This window comes from Homo sapiens, chromosome 7 (genome assembly GCF_000001405.40).
Source record: "Homo sapiens chromosome 7, GRCh38.p14 Primary Assembly".
Classification (NCBI taxonomy): Eukaryota; Metazoa; Chordata; class Mammalia; order Primates; family Hominidae; genus Homo; species Homo sapiens.
The window spans coordinates 127,922,855-127,942,094 of record NC_000007.14 but is presented as its reverse complement, the minus strand read 5'-3'; the positions used below and the strand labels follow the sequence as shown (position 1 = coordinate 127,942,094).

At 42.1% G+C, this 19,240-nt stretch overlaps 1 protein-coding gene across 2 annotated transcripts in view, besides 1 other annotated feature; it reads right to left on the bottom strand.

The window, feature by feature from the left end:
- The window catches only part of SND1 (staphylococcal nuclease and tudor domain containing 1), a 440,400-nt gene that overhangs the window by 150,499 nt on the left and 270,661 nt on the right, over positions 1-19,240 (bottom strand). For both annotated transcript variants that reach the window (NM_014390.4, XM_017011987.3), the window contains exon 15: positions 12,766-12,907. In NM_014390.4, the coding sequence (NP_055205.2) occupies positions 12,766-12,907 (142 nt within the window). The remainder of the gene's footprint in view (positions 1-12,765; positions 12,908-19,240) is intronic.
- Positions 11,784-11,873: an enhancer, noted in NCBI's record as "active region_26590". NCBI's record gives its function as "activates an Ori minimal core promoter by ATAC-STARR-seq in GM12878 lymphoblastoid cells {active_cell/tissue: GM12878}" and the evidence as "EXISTENCE:reporter gene assay evidence [ECO:0000049][PMID:35858748]".

The window sequence follows — 19,240 nt, the reverse complement described above, 5'->3', positions numbered from 1 at the left end:
CCAAACTGTGGAGGAAAAAACTCCCTCCTCTCAAATCAAGGCAGGCTGCTTACAAGGAGCACCACGTGAAAGGGAAAAATGGCCACTCTACGCAATATGCCTATTTTGATATGAAGGGCTGGTCTGTCGTTAGCACTTCCCAATCAGTAGCACTCACAAATAGGTCTAAACTTGGAAAATTTAAAAAAAAAAAAAAAAAAAAAAACTCCCTATCAAACAATAAGAATCAAGAGTAAAAAAGAAATAGCAGTTTGCTAAAAAAGAGACTAAAATACATCAGGGCCTTAGAAGAGTTATTTCTGCATTCCCTGCACATACGACATCATTCATGAAGAAGGCAATGGTACAAATATAGCATAAATGTCGTCTGCTCTAGCTTGTAATTTAAAATGCAAATGCTAATGAGCGAACTGGTATATCAGTGGAGTTAATAACCGCATGCCTAGCACAGGGGCTGCATCCAAAACACACACAGAGAAGAGACAGACACCATGTTCCAATTTAAAAATAAAAACACCCAAATTAACCCTAGAAAAATCACTAGCAGATGTACAAGCTCAGGAAAAGGAGGCACACAAGGGCAGGGAAATGGGAACTTCTCCACCAGCCGCAGACTAACCAGTGGATTTAAATATTTTCCTACTCATAGTAAAGGTAAGCATGGGAGTTACGAGGGTTTACTGAGGAATGCTATTGTAACAGCATTACAGAGTATAATAAGTATATTAAGGAAAAACTACAGGGAATCCAGAAAGCTTGAATAGAAAGTTTTCTACAAAGCCTACTTTAGAAGCCTATAAGCTAATCTTGCAGGGAGCCAAATGAGATGTAGATCTCATTTACTTCATCATAGGCAAAGGGTGAAGAAGCTTTGGTTAAAAAAAGCCCAAAAACTTACAAGGTCTAGATTAAGAGGGTCATTTAAGTAAATTGGAAAAAGCTCTAATGATGAAATAAAATGACGGAGAGAATGCAGTTGTGTCTCAGATGCCTTCCAAACATGAAACGAACTTCTGTGGATTGTTCTTGCTCCTCATAGGCCAGTGCTTGGCAGCCCTGCAGCAGAATCTGGGAACACTCCACAGCACTGAGACGAAGAGCAGCTCCTTGGGCTTCCTCAGAGCCCCCCATACATGGGGAATGAGGAAGTGCATTCTGTGGTCAGTGGCCCTGTCCAGTGCCAGGACTGAAACTATGACGCCTCCTCAAGGCCAGCAGGAGAGCAAGCTTGCACATGCTGCCCACATTGGACACTTAAGTGTCTTCTAATTCCCATGTTAATGCTATTTATTCAAATTCCACACAAAGAGCCAGGCCCAAACTCTAACAGATCCAGCCCATCTGACTGGGGAAGCCTCAGAAAAACTTTTGAAAGAAACTCAAGGTGAGCAATGACCTGGAGTTTGGGGAAGGGGGCAAACAGCTTTTCAATGATGAAGAATGGTTTTATTTATTTATTTTTTAAACCCAGTCAAATCTGGTTGAAAGGGGTGGGAGATTTGTGAGGTAGTTTCCATAGCAACCAGGATTAAGTCTTACAGCAGTGTGCACTGTTCACCCTGGCGCTGCCCATTACCAGATTTCAAAGCATTAACCTTTAATTTCAAATTACCAAACCATTTACACTCCCTCTCCTGCATCCAGGTCCTGCCATTTTCTACTATTAGTCTGACCAAATGGACTCCCCCACAGGGCTGGAGTTCTGGTGAGTAGCACAGTAGCTTGTCAACATTACTACTAAGTGGCTGCTGGGAAATGCCCACAGGTTGACAAGATAGTGTTGAATAATCTACACTGAAATGTATTCCTCTGGGAAAGCCACAAGAAGGGACTTAGAACTGAGGCATTTAGGCACAACCAACGAGACAGGTGCTGTTTTTGGAAATAATCCAACAGAGAAAAGCCATCAGATTTCTGGAAGTTTCCCATTCCATCCCCCAGTGCCCACCAGGTGGAAGGCAAGCCAGACAACCCTGCATAGACTCAGACAGAACGCGCTTTAAAGTAGGAGGGAAGGAGAAGGGCCCGAAAAGGAACACCTAGGGAAAAGCTCACAGGACTGACCTTCTCTACTACTCCACTGGCCTCATTAGCTCTGCATAGGACAGGCCTCATTTTCTATCCAGGATGTTTTCTCCCCTTGTCTCATCAGTATTAAAACATGAAAGCATAAGAGTAAAAAGCACAATAGAACGCTTTAGAGTAGAAGAGTAGAAACACTAGTCAGAGAATTCAGGAGGAAGGAAACTCCTCACTGACCTACCCATCCAAAGCTAATCCACAGGCCTATCATCTAACAGCAAGGGTAAATCAACATCTATCTTTTCTTGGCACATAAAACCCAGTAGATGGTAAGGGCTGAACACCCCAATCAGGAGGCCACACCATCCTCCACAGTCTGACTCCATAGAAGGCGATGACACCACTAGGACTATCTTTTGCTAGTTATAGGAGGCCCTAGATAGGCTGGCACATAAATGCCACATCGGCCTTGCTGTCTCCCTCACCTCCAGGTCACCAGCATCACACCAAGATAAGCAGGCCAGTCTGACGGAAATAATTAATTAGGAAGCAGGAGGGCAAGAATTCATCTTTAAGTGTTTTAGCTCCAAGGTCTGTGACTGCCATTAAACCAGGCCAAACAAATCTTATTTTTAGTGATGACTTTATTTATTACTCTGGAATGGGTACTGAACAAATCATGTTTCTCTCTCTTTTACCCTGAAACACTAGATTATGTCATGGAAGTCTGTCTTTTAATTCCTACTCCCAATCTTCAGGTATTGGCATGCTGAGGCTCTTAGCATCTTTGTTCATCCTCCTCTGATCTGACCACCTGCAGTTTCCTGATGTCCTTCCTAAAAGGATGGTCCTCAGATGGTACACCGTACCACCAGGAATGCAATGACTTGGGCTGGGTCAGTACCTGGCTCCACTCCTCTCTGCGTTCTGTATTTCCGAGTTTTGAAACAGCCTTTTTGACAGCAGTTACATATTTACTCTTATTGTTTTATAAAATCTGAGCTGTTCTCATTTGTATAGTATTTAAGCCATGTTTTGCTTACCCTTATGCTTTTAAAATATTTTTTTCTTCATGTCAATACATTCTTTACTCCAGTAGACACAATTACTTTGCTCAAAGGCTGGAACTGTATCATCCATTTCTGTATTCCTAGCATTGTGCCCACTGAATATAAAAAAAAATTATTAAATAACCATGTAATTGAATGACCCACAAGTATGATGAGGCTCATTCTGGGGATGATTCATGGTGTAAAGATGAAAATAATCCTGGTGTAATTGGAGGTTTCATTCACATGACCAGTGGGTGACAGTGTGCCTGCATAGACGGAGAGCTGAAGGTGGAGCAGTGAAGGCTCAATAGCAGAAGAGCTAAGAGGGAGATTTACACACCAATACAAAAGCGGAGAGAAAAATGATTGATTAATATGTCCATTTCTTTTAGGCAACTCTTCCTGAGATCTGATACAGGCCAACTTCTTCTGCCTAGATGAATCAAACCCAGTCTGCCCAAAGAAAATGTAGCAGATCTTCTCGGAAACTCAAATGCCATCGCCCTGAGGAAAACTTTTCCATTCAACAATTGTTATTTGCTCTGTATTCTCATACTAGGTGGCCTATGCTTTTGATAACTGCTCTTTCATATTTCCTTGTTTACATTATTTGTATGGCCATCTACATAACTAGACTAAAAGATATTCGAGGGAGAAGTTATCCTACTAATTTATGTATCATCCAAAATTTATCTATTGAAGACTACTTTTCTTAATCTGTGCTTGTAAAAATCTTGTACTCATTAAAAAACACTACCCAAATCTGTTCATTGTGTTAATTCTTTCCTGTAAGTGACTCTCCAGGATCCCCGGACATGAACATAATTCTTATAATTCCTATAATGATATCTTTAAAAGTAAAGAACTAGAGCAGCTCCAGGAAAGTCTCATGTTAAGCTGCCCATTTCTAGTAATGGGACCCAACAGAAAGTAGGCAATGGAGACAGAATCAAACTGGGATATCCCAAGAGAAAGAATACCCCACTTTACAAATATCCATTAAGTTGCAATTCAATTAAAGCATCTGAAAGGAATTCATAAGTATCAGCAGACCCTGTAATTGCTTAATTAAGGATAGAAGCCTAGCAAACACAACCACAATAACAGCCTGATTCATTAGCACCTCTGTGATAGCAGAATGGGATTTCTCACTTAAACATACATTGGCTTTAATTGTGTAATTTAGTTAGGCACTGGTAATCAATGGGGATCCACCATTCCTGGGACCAGGAGATGAGAAGGATATTCCTGTTCACCTTCCCTTCCCTCCTCTCATTAGAAGTTTTTGGTCTATTGAAACAGGCAGTTGATATTCCAATGAGGATTGGCTAGAGAAGAGATCTTAAAGGAAAAGAAGGAAATGAGGAACTTCATTCAAAGGCATTCAGGGTGAAAGGACACACAGCCAAACCTTTAGTTCACCATGCACAAGCCCACCACCATTTATCAAATCCTAGACACTTAGAACTTTTCTCAATGCCTCCTTTGTCATAATCCAGCTCCAGAAAGGGAGGGAGAGGGAGAGAGAGAGGAGAAGGGACAGGGGGAGGGAGAGGGAGAGGAGAAGGGAGAAGGGTTGGGAGACGGAAAGAGAGGAAGGGGGAGGGAAAGAAAAATGCTAAAGGGCAGGAAAAGGGAAGTCTCATTTTCTTGTCTTATTTCATATGAATAGGTAACTGGTTAATTATAAGTCACCTGCTGTGATCCACATGGGAACTCCCTGCCAAGTGGCTGCTGCCTTCTAGATGGTTTGTACTATGAGTTCCATGCAAGGTGACTGGCATCCATTTCCTGCCTGCCTCACCCTGTAATTCCTCAAACTTACTGCGGTACCACCTTTAACACTAAGGAAATGCAAACACGGCATGGTGGACTCACTCAGTGAGTTGACAGAAGACTCCAAATATCTGATATAAGGCTCCTTAGATCACTTTGCACTGAAATCTCAAATTATTATTCTCTTCCAATTCAGGAGAAAAGTATTTGGTTTACAGGCACCATGCCTTGATACCTGCTATGCTCATCCAACAGGGCCACTTCCTGAACTGTGCCTGCAGCATGACCCTGATACCTAAGATCTAATAAGGGAATTACAATAAGGACACTCAATATAAAGTTCATAGTAATAAGACAAATACTCCACACCCACTGGGGGCTTTTAGGTAAAAATGTGAGGCCATGTGTCATGGTTCATGCTTATAATCCTAGCACTTTGGGAGACTAAGGCAAGAGGACTGCTTGAGGCCAGGACCCTAAGACCAGCCTGGGCAACACAGTTGAGACCCTGTCTCTACAAAAAATAAAACAATATTAGCCAGGTGTGGTGGCATGCACCTGCTGTCTCAGATACTCAGGATCTGAGGGAGGATTACTTGAGCCCAGGAGTTCGAGATTACAGTGAGCTATGATGGGGCCACTGCACTGTAGCCTGGGCAACAGAGTAAGACCCTGTCTCCAAGAAAAGAAACAAGAGAAAAAAGAAAAAGAAAGTAAAAAATAAAAGCATGACTTGAGAGCCAAATAATTTCCAAATATGTGACTCAATCTCCCCCTAGACAAAATACTAAAGTAAAATGGGACACACATGACAAGTGAAAATAAAAACTGCGTGAACCACTTTTGCTCTCATGGAAGGAAACGTGTGGGGCTCACTAAAGGCCAGATGAGGAAAAAGGATGCTTTTTAACAAATGCAGGCTGCCCAGGGATCTTGGCTTCCTTGCTAACTATGGACAAGAAGTGTCTGTGACTGCCTCCGAGACTGAAATCAGCACGCTTAGGAGGAGGCCACAGCAGCAGGCAGAGAGACCTTGAACAGTCTCAGTTCTGATGCTGTAAGGTCACCTGCTCACCAGCCAAGCCTAAGGCAGGTGCTTAAAGGACTAGAGGGCAAGAGCGTTCAGGAGGCACTGACCTGTTGGCTACAGCTGACTTCTCTAGCCCCACCTGCTATCCCATCTGACCAAGCGATCATTCTACATACAGGGGTGCAGGAACCGTGACAGAACAGCCAGCTGGCTTGGGCCAAATGCCACTCCCTATCAAGCTGTGGGGCCGTCTGCCTGAAAAAAGGCCACATAAAAATGGAAAGTGTCCACCCCACCTTGAAGTACAGAAGGCTCTCCAAAAGGCTGGGATTAATGAGAGCAGCACATAAGGGACTGCTCCCAATAATTATCTTGACTTTCCCCTTGAGAATCACAACCCAAACCCCCTCCTTACTGCAAAGAGACATTTCCAGCAGAATGCCACACTTACATAATGGAGGGTGCATACGGCAGATATCTGCAAAGCTCTAGCAGGACAATCGCTGCCCAGGCGAACAATCCCACAACATGAATAGCATGCCTACTCACTTTCAGCTTTGTAGGTAGTTTTAAAAGACCAAGGGATCTTTCTCTCTCCAAGCCTACTCCCTCAAACCACGTTCTCCATGCATCTCATCCCTTCTGCTTCTTCTAGGTCACTGCTCCATTCATTATCCCTGTGCAGCCTTTCCTGATTCCTTCTCTTCAGAATTCAGACGAGTGCTTCTCAATATTTCAAACCTCATGTTCCCCAGGATAATCTCTCACTCTATCTTTTTTTATAACCTCATTTGCCAATATTTTGTTGAGTTTTACATTCTAAAATTTATATTATGAAAACAATAGGTGTACTGAATAGCCTTTTCAGCTATCCATACCTTCTTGATTCTTGAATAAGAATTACAGTTCTAAAAGCGCACAAGATGCTGACATCCTCGGAATGTTACCTTCACCCTTTGGCTTTTACTTTCTGCACTACTTTTCCATTCTCTGTTAGATATCAGGGAAGTGCAATCTGTACTTACTAAGTCTGTTTCTTACTTCCCACTTTTACTTCCCAGTCACCTGTAATCTACCTTTAATCAACTCAACTCTGATGAAACTGTACCGAGAGGTTACCTGTGACTTACTAGTTGATAAACAGCATAAAAGCCCTTTACAGTTTTTATATACTTGATGTTTTATGTAAACTCTGACACTGCTGGTGCCTGGGAATTCTTCACTCCCTTGGCTTCCAGAAGAATGCTATCTCATGACTGTCTTACTGCTCTGACCGTATCTTCTCTGCCCATATATGAACACTCAGCCCGCTCCATGCAGGTTGGTGTCTTCCAGGGTGCTTACTCCTTGTAAACCTGTCCTCTAGGCACTGTAACAGTTTTAATTACTGCCTCTATGCTGATGGCTCCCTGACCTGAATACTTGCGTAGGCTCCTCTGCTGAGCTTGAACATTCTCATGGATATTCCAAAACCAAACGAACAACCTATTCCTAAAACCTATTCTTACTTTTGTGTTGCTCTTAATTGTGGACATCTCAATCTACCAGATTGCTCAAACCTAGGATGCTTTCATTTTCTCCCCTCCACTCAACACCACCCCCCACTCCTGACCAAAAAGAGACCAGGCATTCCCCGAATTTCAAGTCTACCTCCTACTTTTCCAAATCTATCCAGTTTTCTCCCCAGATTTCAGACCTCTACTATTCTCTTGCCTCTTAATTGCTCTCCCAGATTCTTGCGCCTCATTTATTTCAATGCATCCACCAAAATGAATTTACTTAACCCGAGTCTGAGCATGCTGCCCCCTTGCTTAATACCTTCCAGTGACTCTGAGGGTCCACTGCATAATCTGAAAGAGAAGGACTAGCTCGTGTCTGAGCTGTCAGCCTGACCCCACACTCTACCCTCCTCACTCTTTATACTCCACCAGTAACAAGGGCTATGTGGTTGCCCAGATCCATGCAGATATTCATACCTCTACAACTCTGCACACGCTGCTGTCTCTAGCTAGAATGTGCATCTCCTCCTACTCCCCTCCCCCAACACAGTAAACTCATATGTACTTCAAAACACAGCTCAAGATACCAGCACCTAGGGAGGTGTTCTCTGATGTCCACCTAAAGAAATAATCATTCCCTCCTCAGTGCTACTTCTAGACCTTGTCCATAATTCTATTCTCTCATCTAGTACTCAACTTTACATTTTGTTTACATGTCTGTATTCCCTTGGGTGTTTCCTGATACCTAGGACTGTGTCTTACTTGTGTATTCTTTGGGATGGGGTTTTAGGACAGTGCAGAGTTCCTTGCTCCAAAGTCTCAGAGGGAAAAGCCAGGAGACTTCCTTCCAGCAAGCTTAGTCAGAAGAAGGCTGGCATAGCTCCTTTTCTTGATTTATTTCCAGTAATGGGTAGGTCACAATTTCTATGGTAGAGCCATAGCTATGTGCACACATGCTGCAAAATCATGCCACTCCAAATTGAGGGGCAAGGTAAACTCTAGTTATAAAAACACTAACTCTTTGCAAGGGGAAGGATCATATTTATTGATGATCTGCTTAATAATGGGCTTGTTTCAGAGTCAACTCATTAAACTGCGACAATCATGAGGCAGGAAACAATTCCCAGTTATAATTGATGTGTAAACTGAGGCTTGAAGAGGGTAAATAACCTTGTTAAAGTCACCTGCTTATACACAGTAGAGCCATGATGCAAACTGAGATCTGCTTTCTCTTAAGACTTTTCCCTGTCCTGTATTCTTGCCAGGTTTCTGAAGAAACCAAAAGATGCATAATATAACAGCACACACTATGGCAGGAGAAAAATGTAAAAGGCTTATATTTTTATCACGTATTTGCTTCTGTGTAATCTATCTTTCACAATGTAAGTTAACTCAGGCAATGCCTTTTGAATTGCTAAGCTTAAAATAATGCCAAATACACACAGGAACTGGCTGATGCAGAGTCGAGTGATCAGACTGCTTGTGTCTAAGCAACGTAAAACTAGAAGAATTCTGCAGGAAAACTCCAGCCAAGATGGTCTGTGCTCTGAGCCGGCTCCATTCAGGTAGTTTAGAGCTTAAAAGACAAAACTTCAATGTTCTCTTTCCCCTATACATTTGTGGCCATGTTTCCCAGGAAGAATAATACTGTTTCTCTTTTTCACCTCTGGGATAAAGCTCTACATTGCCAAAAGGATGCTTTTCTTTCTCAGAGCAGAAGATGAGATGCTACAGAGCAGAGGATGAGATGAATATATACAGGCATACCTCAGAGATACTGCAAGTTTAGTTCCAGACCACTGCAATGAAGTGAATATTGCAATACAGCAAGTCACACAAATTTTTAGTTTCCCAGGGCATATAAAAGTGTTCACCCTATACTGTAGTTTAATAAAAGCACTTTATTGTTAAAAAATGCTAATGATCATCTGAGCCTTCAGTGCGTCATAATCTTTTTGCTGCTGGAGGGTCTTGCTTCCATGTTTGTGGCTGCTGACTGATCAGGGTGGTGGTTGCTGATGGAGGTGGTGGCTGTGGCAAAAAAAACAATGAGGTTTGTTCCATCAACTGGCTCTTCCTTTCACAAAGTATTTCTCTGTAGCATGGAATGCTGTGGGATAGCATTTCATTCACTGTAGAACTTCTTTCAAAATTAGAGTCCATTCTCTCAAACCCTGATGCTGTTTCATCAAGTTTAGGTAATATTCTGAATCCTTTGTTGTCATTTCTACAATGTTCACAGCATCTTTGCCGGGACTAGATTCCATTTCATGAAATAACTTTCTCTGCTCATTTATAAGATGCAACTCTTCATCTGTTCAAATTCTTTTCATGAGATTTCAGTAACTCAGTTTTATCCCCAGGCTCTACTTCTAATTCTAGTTCTTTTGCTATTTCTATCATATCTGCAGTTACTTCCTCCATTGAAGTCTTGAACTCTTCAAAGTCAACCAGGAGGCTTGGAATCAACTTCCTTCAAATCCCTGTTTATGCTGGTTGCTGTTTCAACCTCCTCCCATGAATCACAAATGTTCTCAATGGCATTTAAAGTGGTGAATCCATTCCAGAAAGTTTTCAATTTGCTTCCCAGATCCATCAGAAGAATCACTATTTATGGCAGCTTTAGGCTTACAAAACATATTTCTTAAATAGTAAGGTTTGAAAATCAAAATTACTCCTTGATACATGGGTTGCAGAATGAATGCTATGTTAGCAGGCATGTACAATCTTCTTGTACAACTCTTTCAGAGCTCTTGGGTGACCAGCTAGCTGCAGAACTGTGAATGAGCAGTAATATTTTGCAAAAAAATCTTTTTTTTTCTGAGCAGTAGGTCTCAACAAAGGGCTTAAAATATTCCATAAACCAGGCTGTCACCAGATGTGCCGTCATACAGGCTTTGCTGTTCCTTTTACAGAGCACAGGCAGAGTAGATTTAGCATCATTCTTAAGAGCCTTAGGTTTTTTGGAATGGTCAATGAGCAATGGCTTTAACTTAAAGTCACCAGCTGCATAAGGTCTTAACAACAGAGTCAACCTGTCTTTTGAAACTCAGAAGGCAGGCACTGACTTCTCTCTAGCTACCAAAATCCTGGAATGGCATCTTCTTCCAGTAGAAGGCTGTTTCATCTACACTGAAAATCTGGTGTTTGGTGTAGCCACCTTCACCAGTGATCTTAGCTGGATCTTCTGAATAACTTGTTGCAGCTTCTACATCAGCACTTGCTGCTTCACCCTGTACTTTTATGTTATGAAGATGGCTTCTCTCCTTAAACCTCATGAACCAACCTCTAACAGCTTCAAATTTTTCTTCTGCAGCTTCTTTACCTCTCAGTGTTCACAGAATTGAGGAGAGTCAAATCCAGAGGTCTTTCTCTGGATTAGACTTTGGCTTAAGGAAATATTGTGACTGGTTTGATCTTCTATCCAGACCACTAAAATTTTTCCATATAAGCAATAAGGCTGCTTCAATTTCTTTTCTATTTTGAGACAGGGTCTCATTATGTTGCCCAGGCTGATCTGCAACTCCTGGGCTCAGCCTGCTGAGTAGCTGGGAGTACAGGCATGCACCACTGCACCAAGCTTTGTTTGGTTTTCTTATCATTCAATGGGTGGAGCAGTCAGAACACATACAACATTTATCAATTAAGTTTACCATCTTATATGACTGTGGTTCATGGCGACCCGAAACAATTGAAATAATAACATCAAACATCACTGGTCACAGATCACCATAACAGATATAATAATAATAAAGTTTGAAATGTGAAAATTACCAAATGTGATAGACACATGCTGCTGGAGAAATGGCACTGACATACTTGCTTAACACAGGTTGTCACAATCCTCCTATCTATAAAAAAAATGCAATATCTGAAGCACAATAAAAAGAAGTGCAATAAACCTGGATATGCCTGTGCCTCCAACTCTCTAGCAAAAGTTCACTACCAAGAAACTTCATGGGTATAGAAACCTTGGTAAAAAGGTACAAATGGCTGCATAAAAGGACTCTCTCACACAACTGCCACACTGCCTTTCAGTTTACCATAACTCACATTAGCAAAAATAAAACCACAGCCCTCCAATAAGGTATGAATTTTTTTGCATCTCTTCTTTTGCGTAGCTGCCCTGAGCTTGGTGTCACACTTCAATGAGTCCCTTCAGAAGGCCTGCAGAGCTGTGCAGTGATCAAGTTCATAAGAGTATGTACAAGAGCCACAATGAGAAGTGACAGCCAAGCAGCAGCAGTGAGCTCCATGGTCATGTGTTCAGGGAGTGATTTATCTCTCATAACTCAATCCATTTAGTTGGGGCCTGAGGGAGACCCTTATCCAGACAAGAAACTACCTGTGCCTTCTAGGAAAAGGAGGCCAAGGCGATCTGGCAGGAGGCAGCAAGCATGACTCCCGTTTCTCTTTCCCCATAGCAAATTCTATTCAGTAATTCAATGTAAGAAGTGCTGAGACAACAGGACACTAGCAAAAAAGGCAAGGTGGGGACCATGTGCATCTGGGGACCACGGCGGGATATGTCTTTTGCAAGTGAATGAATATTTGTGTGTGCAAGGGTGGCTGGGCGGGGTGGGGGTGGTGGTGGAAGTAAAATGACAGCTTTCCCTCAAAGACTGCAGTCTCTGTGAAGTACCAACTGGAAATAAATAACTATTATTTGCCAGCAGCAAAGAAATGAAGCAGTTTGTTCCTTGAATGCATAAATGTAAATTGCTCAAAGAGCACAGTTTATACATAGCCTTCTGGCTTGTGAAATATTAAGCTACCAGAAAAGATAGGGTAAGACACACATTAAGTCAGCAAAGAAAGGAGCATCTTTGCCTTAGCACGTCAACCTTAGCACAACAAGAAATACTATCGATGTGGGAAGAGCGTGTGAAAGCAACGTCATGGCTGGGGTTTCATAAAGGACTGGGATCTTAATGGCATTTGAAAAGAATGAAAGGGAGACAAAGGGCACTGCTTGGGGAGCTACAGGGGAAGAGTGTCTTGGCTCCTCTGAGGCCTCCCCACAACTAACATAGCATGGGCAGTCTGTTTCAAGTGGGTAATGAAGGCCAACTCTGAGAATTCCATGGCTGGTATTTTCCTAGTCTGGAACTTCCTTTGCTCTAGCTCTATAAGGGCTGCGTGCTTGCAAGTTGCTCTACTCCTACATCCTGTGCTTGGTAGAAATGAGGAGCAGAAAGGGGGTGCAGTGCTGGGTCTGCAGGCACAGGAGGATCCAATCTAGAAACTGTGTTTGCATATCCCAACCAGAGAGGAAGAGCATGCTGGTGGGCTCTAGGGCCTATCTAGAACACAGGGGGAAAGGAGGGTATGTGGTTTCCAGGGATGACTTCTGAGCTCAGAGTAACATGTAACACATAAGACTTACCTGCAAGCAAGAAGGTGATAAGGCAAGTTTCCTTTGGCAAATAGAGTTTGAGACGAGAACCACTGAAGACGTATTCCACCACAGCTTCAGAACGACCTGCCCGCTGAAGAAAAGGCAGGAACTGCTTTGCTTTTTGGGTATCCTGATGGAGAAAAGAGGAAAAGAGTAACTGGAAAGTAATAAAACCCAACGTTTCTTTCTTTATAGTCTAGGACAAAAAGTTTGGCAGGAAGCTAAGCAAATAACCCTATTTATAGACATTTCTGAAACCAAGACATAGACATGATACCCATGAGGCCTCAGTAGAAGAAATATAGTTAATCGACAGTTTCCAGATTAACTTAAATACTCAGTTAAAAGGGTGCTTGGAAAATGAGACTTTCACACCAGAGTTCTCTGGGGCAAGAAGAGCTCATCTTCCTTTAACACAAAATTGAGGTGCCAGGCGCAGTGGCTCACGCCTGCAATCCCAGCACTTTGGGAGGCTGAGGCGGGTGGATCACCTGAGGTCAGGGGTTTGAAACCATCCTGGCCAACATGGCAAAACCCTGTCTCTACTAAAAATAGAAAAAAATTAGCCGGGCATGGTGGCACATGCCTGTAATCCCAGCTACTTGGGAGGCTGAGGCAGGAGAATCGCTTGAACCTGGGAGGTGGAGGTTGCAGTGAGCTGAAATCGTGCCATTTGCACTCCAACCTGGGCAACAAGAGCGAAACTCTTTCTCAAAAAAAAGAAAGAAAGAAAGAAAAAAAAGTTGAGGTAAGAAGACCAGTACTAACCTTCCATTTAACCTTTAATATTCATTAAAAAAAAAAAAAAAAGCGACGCCTAGGCTATCTCACATAGTCCCTATAACCCTGTCCCAGGAAGCCAAAAGTAGTTTATCTTTAAATAGGTTATGTAAGATTCAGAGCTCACAGTTTCTTAACCTTGAGAAGTGGCCAGCCTTCTCCAGGCACTAGTACAGCAACTCCTGCTCTATGTTCATTTTGGGGATGAGATGATACCTGGGGCATACTGTTCCTACCCAGGGAAATCTAGAACAGCAGGATGTGGTCAATGGAGACAAATACTACTTCATGTCAGCAGGAATCATTATAGAAATAATAAAAACACATAAAACGGAATAGCAGTTTAAAAACCTTTTTTGGTGCATCAACACAAAGTCTGTGTGCTCTATCCTCCAGAGTGCCAAATCATGGACATTTCGACTCTCAGAACTCAGTCACATAGATGCGAAGGGCCTTCAAATCCTTTCAGTCTCTCAAGCTAATTAAACAGGTGATAGAGTAAGTGAGCATCAAAATATCACATCGTATATGCTAGGGGAATAGTCACTGGATTTTAGAGTTTCAGGTTTTCAGCCCAGCCAGCAGAACTGAAAACTCCCTCTGAGGACACCAAGTTCTGCAAACTTTCCTGACTTCTGTGACACAAGCAGTCTGCACCCAGCCAAGCTTTTCCTTTTTGACTCTTCTTCTAACAACAGAGCTATTTTATTTAAATTAATGCACATTAGATAATGAAAACATAACAAGCCATCAAGTATTTCAAGAGTTTTCAGAGCAGCCAAAGGGGCTCCTCTCATTCAGAAGCAGTGAGGTAGGCTGGGATGAAAACAGTATTCATAGTAACTAAGATTCATGCTTCCCATCAAACGGATTCTTAGAGAAAAAGAGAGACAGCGATCCATTCTCAGTGTCTCTAACAGTACAGTGGTAAAAGGCAAGGTAACCATGAGCTTTAGGGGGTTGGAAACTTCCCCATTGAACACTTAAGCAACACATTCTCCTACACATATACACATGAAAAATGCCTGTCTGGCAGCTGGCTGAAGTCCAGAACAGTCAAACAAGATAAATGCTCCATGGGAAAGAAAGCACTACTTGATTAAAATCCTTGTGCCATACTAGTCTAAATCTGGGACACTATTCATGAGCTGAACCAGTAAGTCAACAACAATTATCAAATTGATTATCGCAAATCATGAGGCAACCTAACATCTCAGAAGAGAAGGTCTTTTTCCTCAAGATCAGAGCAAATTACATTTTTCAGAAATAGACTTCTACTCATCACTATCCTTTGGATGTAGTTATCTGGAAAAAATGCTTATAGGAATAACAATGGCACACACACAGGCATGCCTTTCATGTTTAAACTAACAAGGAGGTTGCAGCACCCTCTCTTCCTTTTTTGCTAAACTCTTACCTACTTTATAAAGAGAGAAACCTACTCAGACTGAGAATAATCAAGGAGCCTCAAAGGGACCTTAGTGCTACCCATGTCATAAAAATCAATACATGTTCCTGACTCCTCCTAAGTCTCAATGCACAACTCAACAGCTCTATTCCAGAAATGACAAATGGGAAGATAGCCAAGAGGATGACATGTCATTGATTATGGCAAAGATCAGAAGTGAAAGCCAACTATGAAAATCAGGCTGGGCGTGGTGGCTCATGCCTGTAATCTCAGCACTTTGGGAGGCTGAGGCAGGCAAATCACGAGGTCAGGAGATCGAGAGTATCCTGGCTAACACGGTGAAACCCCGTCTCTACTAAAAGTACAACAACAACAACAACAACAACAACAACAACAACAACAACAACAAAATAGCCGGGTGTGGTGGTGGGCACCTGTAGTCCCAGCTACTTGGGAAGCTGAGGCAGGAGAATGGTATGAACCTGAGAGGCGGAGCTTGCAGTGAGCCAAGATTGTGCCACTGCACTCCAGCCTGGGTGATAGAGCGAGACTCCGACAAAAAAAAAAAAAAAAAAAAAAAGAAAAAGAAAATCAAAGGCATACAGCAAATTTTAAAACCTCATCAGAACTGGCCATGTTTATTTCCAGATAAAAATTATAAGGTAAGAACATGGAGTTCCCCATATTCTTGAGGCAAGTATTTCGAAGGCTTGGATGAGGTGATATGCCTGTGGACCAGTCACTAAGTGGAAAGATGGATATTTCATCCAAGCTGACAGAATATTAAGTTCTTATAAAGTCAATTAAATTGATTATAAGAACCCAAAGATGTCGGCACTTTCAAATCTCAGTCACAGCCACACAAAAGTGTATGTCTTTCCTTGTCATCTCAAGCATTTTTTTGCTTGGCATGTTCCTTTTCAAACATTCTTGAAATCTTTAATATTTGTTTCAGTGGCTCAAATGAAAACACTGGTTAGGAAGACTGGCACGTTTCCTCAGGCGATGTAGCTATAAATCCTCCCTGGTAATTTAGTTATGGAAATTATTTATTTTAGAAATTCTGATTATAACAATATAAAATTGACAGAATTCAGTTAAGTAATTTGCCTTCCAAAGAGAGAGTGCAAGTAGCAATGTGCTTCAGTCTCTTAGACACATTTCCAGGGTTAATAAGAGCCGGGAGACAGAGATTTTCTCTCTTAAAAAAAAAAAGAAAAAAGAAAAAAAGACCTGGCCGGGCGCGATGGCTCACGGCTGTAATCCCAGCACTTTGGGACGCGGAGGCAGGAGGATCATCTGAGATCACGAGTTCGAGACCAGCCTGGCCAACATGGTGAAACCCTAAAAATACAAAAATTAGTTGGGTATAGCAGGGTGTGCCTGTAATCCCAGCTACTTGGGAGGCTGAGGCAGGAGAATCGCTTGAACCTGGGAGGCGGAGGTTGCAGTGAGCCCAATCATGCCATTGCACTCAAGCCTGGGTGACAAAAGTGAAACTCCATTTCAAAAAAAAAAAAAAGAAACACCCACAACCATATATATAAATAAAGATTTAAGACCTTAGATTTAAAGAGATAACAACTACAGGACTTGTTACACAGAATGCTCATTTCAAGGTAATATCAAATATTTCTGCTTATGTATCTATATGCTAAGGCTTTCACTCTCAGTTTTCATTGCTATTGCTTCCTTACATAAGGTCTGGGATTCTATTTGCCAGTTTTCTGCCACTATGTTGGCTCATAGCTTTGAGAAATCAAGTAAATAAATTAGTTGTGGTTTTCTGTTATCTACACCAATATTCCCCTCCACTGGTGTAAATAATCAGGAAGCAACTGGATTTCTGACAAGAGAAGTCTTTTTTTGTTGTTGTTGCACTGGTAGTTTTCACATTACCTGTGCTCTACAGCAAACTATACATAAGTATTTTCCTGTACTCTTAGAAAAGCTAATTTAAGATTGCATTAGCTACATTTAACCTGCTATTGTGGATGGCATCTCTTTAAGAAATGTTTCTGCCTCCTCAATGCACCTTGAAATTGAGAAAGTAATGATGCAACAAATGTGCCTGGGGTGACTTCATTTCAAAGGATGTTAGTATCTATATCTCAAACTTAGAGGAACAGGGTTCTGAATGACCCTCCAGAATGGCAGGATGACCCTTAGAGAGAAGCAGAGAAGCAAAGGTTATAAAAACACCTTAATTATAAACTCTCACTCTGCCCTGACTTCTGGCTTGTCAGGCTACATCTCTTCCAAATGTGGGTACATCTATCTATGGCTATAAGATATCCCCTTCAGCAGTTAGATTGGAACTTATCTCTATAAAGTACCTTGCTGTGTATACAAATATATGTTTAAAATAATTTAGTATGATGAATTCCCAGGCTTGGGAGAATGGGAGATTTGGGTGGGTAGGTGGGAGAGCAGACGAAGCAGAATCCTTGTACAGCAGGCACAGGATAGAAGTGTCTGAAAGACCACCACCCCAGACAGCCAGGTCACCTGCTTCCTAGAGGACCTGAACTACAGAAATCACAATTCTGTGAATTCTGGAACAGGGTTTAGGATGTCGGTGTGCACTAGATGTATGCAAAGTGATTCCCATGATTTCTCCAATGAAAGTCCCCAAATAGTAGGCATGAAACTAGAAAGGGCTGGTGAGAGGTAAACATAACAGCACAGAAAACAGCATGGGAAAATGGGAATAGACTAAACCTATTAGTTAACAATTAACCACTCAGGATTATCATATGCAAGACTCAAATGGAAATTGTTAATAATGAAGATCACGAATTAGTTCTCATCATCACAATCTTTGATTAACATCACAGGAAAATGAACTACAAACAAATACATGCAGAACTTATTACTGGGGAAGTATACTCTACCAGCACTTGAGAAACAGCTAGAAAGAAGCCCATCAATCCTGATGGGCCTCCCTGGAGGTGCAAGCATATGCTCTACTGCCCATCCCAGGATGTTTCTTCCTATGAAGCTCTCTGTACTGCTTGGTCCCACCAGGGCTGACCTGAGGGTAAAGGACTCCAGGGCACAGTGCTGTCTGGGTCTAACCAATCTTAACTCTAAAGTAGCAAAATCCTTGTGAACAAGAGGACAGACACAGGAAAAAAAAAAAAGTGTGGAGATCAGAACGAATCGTTAAGGATACTGAAGCAAATGTGCTCTAAAGCAGCAAAATCCTTGTGAACAAGAGGACAGACACAGGAAAAAAAAGAGTGTGGAGATCAGAACAAATCGTTAAGGATACTGAAGCAAATGTGCTCTCTCATTTTAAGTGTATTGTGTATGGTGTATGGTGTATGGTGATCATTCACTGCCATCGTTATCTATGTTTTTCTGGGTTGTGCAGACCAGGAGAATTACTTTTGTGGCTATATGGAAGACAAATCACAACTACATCTCCTATCAGCAAGGCAAAACCATCACCTATCGCTCCACACTCTTCCTCCTTTCCACATCTTGGGCGCTATGGCCCCAAGTGCCATTTTAATTCACAGAATGAGTTTATGATTCGATGAAGAGCCAGTTATACAGCATGATCATCTCTTGAAATACATGGAACCCTGCGGGGGGAGGATACTCTGAGAATGCCCTCGAGCTCCTGTGTTACCATAAAGCACTTTCAAATTTGAAACTGCTCTTCCCTGGCTGGTTATCAATGCTTTGTGGTGAGATGTGTACTAGAGAGACCAGGGAGGGCGTAAACTTCAGTGAATTGCAAGTTTAACAGGAATGAAGTGAACACAGAGGAGAACACTGACAAAAACAAACCCCCAAACAAAAAAATTACAACAGAAAAAAAAGGTGCTAAAGCTAGGCCATCAATTATCTTTCAATAATTGGGCAGGGTGGCGCATGCCTGTAATCCTAGCGCTCTGAGAGGCTGAGATGGGAGTATCACATGAGGCTAGGAGTTCAATACCCCATCTCTACAAAAAATTTAAAAATTAGCCAAGCATGGTGGTGCGGGCCTGTAGTCCCAGCTGCTTGGGAGGCTAAGGCAAGAGGATTGCTTCAGCCCAGGAGTTTGAGGCTGCCGAGAGCTATAATCATGCCACAACACTCTACCCTGGGTGACACTCTAGCCTTGTCTCTTAAAAAATGGAAAATCATTAAGTGTTGTCTGTGGTTTACAGATTCTCACACTGTTTACTTGGTTGGTAAAGCACCTCACTCAGGCCTGCACCATGTTGAACATAGGAGAAACCGCAGCCCAGGCTCTGAGCTCCAGTTCTGGGAGCATGAGTC